Genomic DNA, 10,343 nt, shown 5'->3' on the forward strand with positions numbered 1-10,343 from the left:
CAGCTGGGCTGGGCTGGGCTGGGCTGGGCTAGGTGGGGAGGGCTGTAAGGAGCGAGTGCTGGAGGGAACCTCCGCACCGTTAGCCTCCAACTGGGAGGGCGAGGCCAGGCCCAGGGACCCAACGTTTTCTCTTAGCTTGCTTCTGCCTGGTCTGGGTTACCATCCTGGTTGCAGGCACCTGTGCACCCCACAGGTGAGAGGGGTCTAGAGACCTCGCCTTCTACAGTGGCATCAGTCCTCGCTCCTGTCCCCTTACTCCTGGTCTCGGACCAGTCCGCCCGGTCTGACTCTTGTGGTCCCGTGTGGGTTTCGTCGAGTGTGCGCTCGGGGCCGGGGCGGGAGGGGCAGCTCCTCATTCCACCTCCAGGAAATCGAACTGGAGGAAGGAGGGCAAACTCAGGGAGGCGGGGCTCGTTCCACAGGGACACCACGACGGCTCGCGGCCCCCAGCCTCTACCCCGCTCCGGATCCGGGATCTGAGCGCCGGCCGCGGTGCCCAGGCACTCCCTTGGCGGGCCGGATGGCGGACCCCGGCCCAGATCCCGAATCTGAGTCGGAATCGGTGTTCCCGCGGGAGGTCGGGCTCTTTGCAGACTCTTACTCGGAGAAGAGCCAGTTCTGTTTCTGTGGGCATGTGCTGACCATCACGCAGAACTTTGGGTCCCGCCTCGGGGTGGCGGCGCGCGTGTGGGACGCGGTGAGGAATGGGCTGCGCCGGGTGAGGGTCCGTGGGAGGTCCAGATCCCGGACTCCGCCTCTCCCATATGGAGCCATCCTCACGACTGTCTTTTTCTCTGTCTTTTCTCCCGTAGGCCCTGAGCCTGTGCAATTATTTCGAGAGTCAAAATGTGGATTTCCGAGGCAAGAAGGTGATCGAACTGGGTGCGGGGACAGGCATCGTGGGGATCTTGGCAGCGCTGCAGGGTGCGTGAGCTGGCTTTTTACGGGAGAGAGTGGGGACCCAGGGGCGCGGAGAAATGGTCACTTCGTGGATCTTTGGGGGAGAGGGGAGAACTTTGGGCCCAGTCTAACCCCTTCTTTTTAACAAATTTTTTTTTAAAATTTGTTTTTGTTTTTATTTTGGCGTCTGCTTCTGCGTGCCAGACAGCGCGAATTGCCTGTCAAAGCACCTAGGGTGGGTGATTGGGGAGGGCAGGAAATAAAACTCAGGCAGGCCTATAAGAAGGAGTTGTTTCTATCGTGTTGCTTTTTTTTTGTTTTTAATTTTTTTTGTTTTTTTGAGACGGAGTCTCACTGTGTCGCCCAGGCTGGAGTGCAGTGGCTGCTATCCCCACTAACTGCAACCGCTGCCTCCCGGGTTCAAGCAATTCTCATGCCTCAGCCTCCGAAGTAGCTGGAATTACAGGCTTGCGCTACCATACCCGGCTACTTTTTGTATTTTTAGTAGAAGACGTTTCACCATGTTGGCCAGGCTGGTCTCGAACTCCTGACCTCAGGTGATCCATCTGCCTCGCGAGGCGCCTGGGATTACAGGCGTGAGCCACGACACCCAGCCTTGTGTTACTCTTTGTGATTTTATGGAGAATACTGTCACTTAAAAGCGCCTTGGCTTTGGACATGGTCTTCTGTCAAGATGCACATATGGGGGTACTCTGTAGGGAGACTTGCAGACATTAAACTTCGTGAGTGCTTTATAACTTTATTATGAATATATTTCAGATTCCTTAGGTTTTTATTGCTAAGAGAAACAAGCTTATGAGTTTCCAAGGGTTAGGATGTGTTTTGTAGGAAGCGGGGTAGGAATTAGACACTGCAGACTTGGAAAAGGAAAAGGTAAGGAAAAATTTGCTTCTCTTTTGTCAAGAAGCAAAAACTACAGAGGAAACAGTTTCACAAATTATAATCTAATGGGCAGAAAAAACCTCAAACTGAAAGCACTCGTTTAAAAATTCTTACAATGTCATCTCCCTAGGAATGTAAATTAACATGTCTTTGTTCATAGGGACAGAACTAGGTCATATTAAGGGAAGCCTAGCCGGGCGCAGTGGCTCACACCTGTAATCCCAGCCCTTTGGGAGGCCAAGGTGGGTGGATCACCTGAGGTCAGGAGTTTGAGACCAGCCTGACCAACATGGTGAAACCCCATCTCTACTAAAAATACAAAATTAGCCGAGCATGATGGCTTATGCCTGTAATCTCAGCTACTTGGGAGGCTGAGACAGGAGAATCGCTTGAACCCGGGAGGTGAAGGTTGCAGTGAACTGAGATCGCACCATTGCACTCCAGCCTGGGCAACAAGAGTGAAACTCTGTCTCAAAAATAAAAAAAGGGAAATCTTCCCAGAGGCAGGCATTCATTCTTCTATTCATTCAACCAAAATGTATTTCAAGTCCCCTATGTACCAAGAATCATGCTAGGTATTGGGGATTCAACAATAAATAAGACAGATTTTCTCTCCCCAAGGAGCTTATGGTCTAGTGAGGGAGACAGAGGACGATGTCATAGAACAAGAACTCTGGCGAGGTATGCGTGGAGCCTGTGGACATGCTCTATCCATGTCTACCATGACTCCCTGGGAATCCATCAAGGGAAGCTCTGTCAGGTGAGGAGGAGGTGAACAGTGTGAACACAGCAGGCTCAGAAACACTGGAGGGTGCCGGCCGGGCTCGGTGGCTCATGCCTATAATCCCGGCACTTTGGGAGGCCGAGGCAGGCGGATTACCTGAGGTCAGGAGTTTGAGACCAGCCTGACCAACATGGAGAAACCCCATCTCTACTAAAAATACAACATTAGCCGGGTGTGGTGGTGCATGCCTGTAATCCCAGCTACTTGGGGGGCTGAGAAAGGAGAATTGCTTGAACCCGGGAGGCGGAGGTTGCAGTGAGCCAAGATTGCACCGTTGCACTCCAGCCTGAGCAACAAGAGTGAAACGCCATCTCAAAAAAAAAAAAAAAAAAAAAAAAAAAGAAACAGTGGAGGGTGCCAACAGCAGTTTTTGCATGAAGCATGGGTGGATGCAGGCAGTTATGCTAAAAAGGGGAGAAAAGGCATGCGGTATGGATGGGAACACCTAGCTTCACTTGCTCCCAGACTGGCTTCTCCTTCTTTGCCTCCTATTTAGCTGTCAAGTCAGAAAGCTGGATGTCATCTTGTCCCTCACTTTCTCCCCTCACATTCCAGCAATCACCCAGTCCTATGAGTTAAATGTTCTTTTTTTTTTTTTTTTCCTTTTTGAGACAGAGTCTCACTCTGTCACCCAAGCTGCAATGCAGTGGCATGATCTCGGCTCACCGCAACATCCGCCTCCTGGGTTCAACCGATTCTCCTGCCTCAGCCTCCCGAGTAGCTGGGATTACAGATGTCTGCCACTATGCCTCACTAATTTTTGTGTTTTTAGTAGAGACAGAGTTTTGCCATGTTGGCCAGGCTGGTCGTGAACTCCTGGCCTCAAGTGATCTGGCCACAACTTCCAGTTGTCTGGGGAAGTATTATCTTTTCAGCATCTCTAGTTCAGGCCACTGGCATCTCTTGCCTGGATTTTCGCAAGGGCCTTCAAGCTTCTTCTGGGGAAGTGTGACATACCCAACTAGATCTTGTGACCTTCCTCCACCAAACACATTTCTCCCTCAGACTTCCCTATCTCAGTGAATCAAATCACTGTGCACCCAGTGGGAAACCTAGACATCACCTTTGACACGACCCTCTTTCTCACCTACATGTCCATTATTCAGTTTATCTCCTAAAAATTTCTTAAATCTTCTCATGTTTTTCCATCTCCATTGACAGCTCCCCAGTCCAAACCACCACGATCACTTGCCTGGACTACTACAACAGCCACACTTGTCTTCCTGCTTTGACTCCTTGTCCTCACCTAGACCTCTGCCCTTCCACCTAGTGGTCAGAGTGATCTTTTCAAAATAAAACTGTAATCATGTATTCCCACCCCAAATCTTTCAGTGGCCTCTTGTTGCTTTCAGGATAGAACCAACACCTATGGCATGGCCCCCAAGGTCCTGCCTCCCTCTTTCTGTGCCTCTTTCTCTCTTGTTTTTCTTGGGCTGCCTATTGCCTGTCCATCAGTTCCTCAAACCTACTCTGATGTTCCCTTCCTTGGGGACTTCACTCAGGCTTACTTTCTGTCTGAAACTTTTTACCATCTGCTTAATGCATATGCATCCCTCCTTCCTCAGCTCAAACATCACTTCGAAGGGAAGGCCTCCTTGGCACTCCCACTCCTAGGCTAACTTAGACCCTCCCAGTACATACACAACTGTGCTAACTGGGCTAATTTTAACTTTGTTACCATTGGCCTTAGGTGGGTCCTAAGTGCTTCCCAGCTAGCCTGGTACATTCTCTCGTCCACTTTTTCTGCCACTCTCCTGAACAACTGTTTCTTACCTTCTTATTCCTCAAACCTCCACATGCCTCTTCTGCCATCTTCACCCTCACCTGATGACTTTGTTTCCTATCTCTTTATTTTATTTTATTTTATTTTATTTTTTGAGATGGAGTCTCACTCTGTTGCCCAGGCTGGACTGCAGTAGTGCGACCTTGGTTCACTGCAACCTCTGCTTCCCAGGTTCAAGTGATTCTCCTGTCTCAGCCTTCCAAGTAGCTGGGATTACAGGCACGCACCACCATGCCTGGCTAATTTTTGTATTTTTAGTAGAGATGGGGTTTCACCATGTTGGCCAGGCTGGTCACAAACTCCTGACCTCAGGTGATCCACCTGCCTTGGCCTCCCAAGGTGCTGGGATTACAAATGTGAGCCACCGCACCTGGGCTGTTTCTTATCTCTAATGATTGCTTCTGTTTTCTCAGAAAATGTCCATATATTTTTATCACAACATCTACTTATGTGACTGCATCTGCATCTGTGTGCAGTGCCTTCTCTCCTGTTACCATGGATGAACACATTGTGCTAGCTAAGGTCAAGCCCCCCACTTGTCACAAGACCCCAAATCTTTCTGCCTACTCAAAGACATTGTTCCAGCAACACCCACCCCCATCTCTCCTGCATTCTCAGTTTTTCCTTTTCTTTGGATCATTCCATATATAGTAATATATGGAATATAAAATGCATATAAATATGCTATGATTTCTCTTATTTCAGAAAAAAACTCTTGATCCTACATCTCCCTCCAGCTATCACTCCATTTCTATGCTCCACTTTAAAACAAAACTCAAAAGAGTTAATATTCAGTGTCTAGTTCCTCTCCTCCTATTCTTTCCTTCAATCCAATTGTTCTAGTTAAGGTCGTGAGCTTCATTTCCAACTCCAGGTTGTTAAACGCAGGAGTCAGTTATCAGCCTACCTTTGATAACTTTGCATTTGATGCTGACACTCCCTCCTCCTTGGAACAATTCCTTTGGTTTCCAGGGGACCACACTTCTGGTTTCTGCTTACCGGCAGGAACTCCTTTTCCATGCTCTCTTGTTGGTTCTTTTTCATCTTCACAACTGAAAATGTGAGTGCCCCAGGGCTCAGGGGCAGTCCTTTGATCCCCTCCTTTTCTTGTCTACCTCACTCCTGAGCAGCCCATCACCTCATGCCTTTAAATGTCCTGTTGAAGCCGGACGCGGTGGCTTACGCCTGTAATCCGAGCACTTTGGGAGGCTAAGGTGGGTGGATCACCTGAGGTCAGGAGTTTGAGACTAGCCTGACCAACATGGTGAAACCCCATCTCTACTAAAAATACAAAATTAGCCGGGCGTGGTGGCAGGCGCCTGTAATCCCAGCTACTTGCGAGGCTGAGGCAGGAGAATTGCTTAAACCTGGGAGGCGGAGGTTGCAATGAGCCGAGATCATGCCATTGCCCTCCAGCCTGGGCAACAAGTGCGAGACTCCATCTCAAAAAAAAAAAAAAAAAAATGCCCCGTTGGTGATCATGACTCTAAGACTATCCCATTTCTATCTCCAGACTTGCTTGCATAACCTAGTGCCTACTCAGTATCTTCATGTGGTTGTCTGATGTGATATAGAAGTCCATGTCAAACTTAACGTGCTCAGAAAATGAACTCATGATCTTCCTGTCCAAATTGCGCCTCCTGCAACCTTTCTCATCTAAATGAGTGGCAATTTGGTCTTCTAGTTGGTCAGGCCAAACACCCAGAAACCATCCTGAGCTTTTTTTTTTTTTTTGAGACAGGTTCTCACTCTGTTGCCCAGGCTGGAGTGAAAGTAGCACAATCATGGCTCACTAAAGCCCTGAACTTTCAACCTCCCGAGGCTCAAGCAATCCTCTGACCTCAGCCTCCCGAGTAGCTGGGACTACAGGATGTGCCACCACACCCAGCTAATTTTTGTATTTTTTATAGAGACGAGGTTTTGCTATGTTGCCCAGACTGGTCTCAAACTCCTGGACTCAAGCAGTCATCCCGCATTGGCCTCCCAAAGTGTAATCCAAAGGGATTACAGGCGTGAGCCACTGTGCCTGGCCCATCCCAAGCTTTTCTCTCTCTCTCATATTTTATATCCAATCTATTGGCAAATCCTGTTGACTCTACCTTCAAAATATATTCAGGATCTGACCATTTCTTAGCCATTGCTACTGCCCTGGTTTAAACCATCATCATCTCTCACCTGAGTCATTGCCATCACCTCCTAACTGGTCTCCTAGCTTCTGACCTTGCCCTCCTGTACTCTTCTCATCATAGCAGCCAGCATGCTCCTCCTAAAGCATGCCAGCGTGTGCCATTCTTTTTTTTTTGAGACAGAGTCTTGCACTTGTTGCCCAGGTCGGAGTGCAATGGCACAATCTCGGCTCATTGCAACCTTCGCCTCCCAGGTTCAAGCGATTCTCCTGCCTCAGCCTCCCTAGTAGCTGGCATTACAGGCGCCCGCCACCACACCCAGCTAATTTTTTTGTATTTTTAGTAGATATGGGGTTTCACCATTTTGGTCAGGCTGGTCTGACCACTCAATTTAAAATTTCATTCTCCAGCCACTCAATTTAAAATTACATTCAGGCTGCCAAGACTTTGTCCTCTATGCCCTGGGGTCTCTGGACCTTCCAGGTAGGAGCCGAGAACCCTTGGTTGGTCCCTCTAACTTGCATTTCTCCCCATCCCTCAAGCAATTCTTATCCCCCTTCCCTGCTTGGGGCTTCACCATGGCATATATTACCATCTGATGTACAGTGTATTTTATTTTATTTATTTTGTTTGTTGTTATCATCTGTTTCTTGCCACTGGACCATAAGCTCTGTGAGGGGGGATTCTTATCTTCTTAGTTCATCATTATGTTCTCAGCACTTGGCATATAGGCACATAATAAATATGAATGAATGAATGGATTCCTAGTACTTCTTGCTTCTCTTTCTATCATAGTCATCATGATTATGATGCAGTACCTAGTGTGTCTCTACCTCTAGAATGAAACAAAGAAAGCTGTGTTTTTGTCTTGCTCACCTTATATACCCAGCACTTAGAAGGTTCTCCAAATTATATCTACTGCATGAATGAAGGTTTCTGAGATGCTAATCTGACCATCTTCACCCGTTTCTGCCCTTAAAGCTTACTGCCCTCAGTATCGAACCTGAATCTTCTTAGCATGTCATAATCACTTTCCCTTTGTCTCATGTCTTGACACTTTTCTCCCCCTTCCACATCCTCTAAGATGCAGCCTTTCCTGAATATGCCATGCTCTTTCACTCCCAGGCCTTTGTACTCACTGTTCTCTTCTTGGAAAGCTCCACCTGACTAACTCCTACTTGTCCTTTAGGGCTCAGCTGAGGTCACATTTTCTGGGAAGCTTTCCAGACCCTTAAGGCGAGCTTGTGTCAGTGGGGGTGGGTACAGAACCCATCTCCAGCTTAGTCCTGCCCAGGCTTCTGCTGACATCTGATTGTTGTGTGTTGGCCAGAGAGGTTGAAGATTAGCTCAGAGAGAATGTTGATGTTGTAGAATGTAGAGTAATGAGAATAGCAGTGGGTGAAATGGAGGTTGAGGCAACTAAAAGCCAGTGTGGGCTCTGGGCTGTCAAGACATTGTCCTCTATGCTCTGAGGTCTCTGGACCTTCCAGGCAGGAGCCAAGAACCCTTGGTTGGTTCCTCTGACTTGCATTTTTCCTCCTTCCTCTCTCTCAGGGGGGGATGTTACCATCACTGACCTGCCCCTGGCCCTAGAACAGATCCAGGGCAACGTCCAGGCCAATGTGCCAGCTGGAGGCCAGGCCCAGGTGCGTGCCTTGTCCTGGGGGATTGACCATCATGTCTTCCCTGCAAACTATGACCTGGTGCTGGGGGCTGATATCGTGTACCTGGAACCCACCTTCCCTCTGCTGCTGGGGACCCTCCAACACCTGTGCAGGCCCCATGGCACCATCTATCTGGCCTCCAAGATGAGAAAGGAGCATGGGACAGAGAGCTTCTTTCAGCACCTCCTGCCCCAGCATTTCCAACTGGAGCTGGCTCAGCGGGATGAGGATGAAAATGTCAACATCTATAGGGCCAGGCACAGGGAACCAAGACCTGCTTGACATCACCCTTGCTGTTCTTCTCAATCTCTTGCTCTAATGAAGGAACTGTGTATCTCAAAAACCATATTTCCAGAGCCACAAACATGAGGACCAAAAAGGATGGATTTCCCTGGCCTCTCTCACTTTCCTCCTTCCCTCTTTGTTACCCCAGATACTCTTGGGCAGGTGCAGTGAGGTGCCTGCTTACAAGGAATCCCAGAGTTCTGGCAGCACTAGTGTTAGAACACCAAGGAGGTTCCTGGCTCCTGTTCTCAGAGAAGGAGGATGGTAAGGTATCCAGGATTTTTAGGGGGTAAGGGAGATATATGGGATGTGAGAGCAGTGATTGTAGACAGACTGTCACTGATCACTTCCATTCCTGTTGCTGTTTACACAGAATGGACTTTAAAAAAATTCTGTGGGATTTTTTTTTCTTTTTTTCTTTTTTTTTGAGACAGGGTCTCACTCTGTCATCCAGGCTGGAGTGCAGTGGTGTGATCACAGCTCACTGCAGCCTCAACCTCTGAAGGCCCAGATGATCTTCCTGCCTCAGCTCCCCAAGTAGCTGGGACTAGAGGCATGCGCCACCACACCCGGCTAATTTTTGTATTTTCAGTAGAGACAGGGTTTCGCCATGTTGCCCAGGGTGGTCTCAAACTCCTGGGCTCAAGTGATCCACCCGCCTTGCCTCCCAAAGTGCTGGGATTGCAGGCATGGCCCACTGTGCTAGCCTAGGATTTTTTTTTTTTTTTAAGAAAGAATTAAGCCTTAAAAATCTATTGTGCAAGAACCCAACTTTTACTCAGGAGCTGAGAAGGAAGAAGCCTCAAACCACCCATTTCCTGCTTTTTAGAGATAGAGTCTAGTGGAACCATGGCTCTAACTGGGTCAAGTCCTCCTAGCTCTGAAGCTAAGGCTGCAGAGCTGTCCTTTGGACTGTATTTCTTCATGCTTTCCAGAGTTAGAGCCTTGATCACGGAACATCATTGTGTGCAGAAGAATACTGTACCTAGTACTAAGTTCTTTTCATCTTTGATTTTTCTTTAGCTTCATCAGTCCTTCCTTCCTAATCTCTAATCCCCTGAAGCCTAACACAGTTCCTAATGTGTTTTGCCTTAACCTCTTTTCTCTTCCCACATTGGTACTTCTGGTTGGGGCTCTCTTTACTTACTGCTTAGGCACATAGTCACCTTCTCTGGACTCCCTGCTTCCATGCTTTCTCCTTCAGTCCATTCCGCAAACTCTTGTGATCTTCCAAAATTAGCTCTGATTAGCTTTCACTTCCTGTAGAAGCAAGAACAAGCTCCTCTGCTTGGTACTTAGTCTGTGTCCATGTGATCCAAAATTACCTTCCTATTGCATTTCCTACTCCTTTGCTACGTGTATTGGACCTCTGGCCAAATTACAAAAGATGTACTCTTTGTTCTCTAAAACCACACTAAAGTTTTCTGACTTCTTTCACACTCTTTATGATAATCCTCTGCCTGAAAGGCTATTGCCACCTGTCAAAATCTTCATTATTCTTTGCCTCTTTCCTGAGCCTCTTGCTTGAATGTGATTTCTTTCTCCCTGAGACCCATAAGGTTCATCTTATGGGACCTTAATTTGTCTTGCATGGACATTTGTGATTCTCATTTTCTCACCATTAAATTACCTTGGAGGGTAGGGCTGTGGTTTACTCCTGTCTAAACCCCTGAAGCCTAACACAGTTCCTGGCACACAACAGGTGTTCAACAGATATTGTGCTCATTCAATAAATATTTACTCGCTTTGTTTAATGGATTCCACCCCTGCCTTCCTAGGTGACCTTGGACAAATTCTCGAACCCATTCACCAACCACACAAGTTTGTTGTGAGTCATAAATGGATAATGAATATAAATGCGCATTGAAAATAAACATAAAATGTTACCCACATTTCTT

At 47.8% G+C, this 10,343-nt stretch overlaps 1 protein-coding gene across 2 annotated transcripts, besides 1 other annotated feature; it reads left to right on the plus strand.

Moving 5' to 3' along the window:
* Positions 65-574: an enhancer, noted in NCBI's record as "NANOG-H3K27ac-H3K4me1 hESC enhancer chr12:58166052-58166561 (GRCh37/hg19 assembly coordinates)". NCBI's record gives its function as "activates a minimal SCP1, AML or CMV promoter by ChIP-STARR-seq in naive H9 embryonic stem cells {active_cell/tissue: H9 hESC(naive)}" and the evidence as "EXISTENCE:reporter gene assay evidence [ECO:0000049][PMID:30033119]".
* EEF1AKMT3 (EEF1A lysine methyltransferase 3) lies at positions 410-10,337 on the plus strand. 2 transcript variants are annotated; one of them, NM_206914.2, is made up of 4 exons: positions 410-697; positions 813-924; positions 2,425-2,563; positions 8,051-10,337. In NM_206914.2, exons 1-4 carry the CDS (start codon positions 521-523, stop codon positions 8,070-8,072), a joined length of 450 nt encoding a protein of 149 aa, NP_996797.1. In that variant the 5' UTR covers positions 410-520; the 3' UTR covers positions 8,073-10,337. The 2 variants fall into 2 exon arrangements, with proteins under 2 accessions (NP_996797.1, NP_056248.2); NM_015433.3 differs by lacking the exon at positions 2,425-2,563.

Source organism: Homo sapiens, chromosome 12 (genome assembly GCF_000001405.40).
Source record: "Homo sapiens chromosome 12, GRCh38.p14 Primary Assembly".
In the NCBI taxonomy this organism is placed as follows: Eukaryota; Metazoa; Chordata; class Mammalia; order Primates; family Hominidae; genus Homo; species Homo sapiens.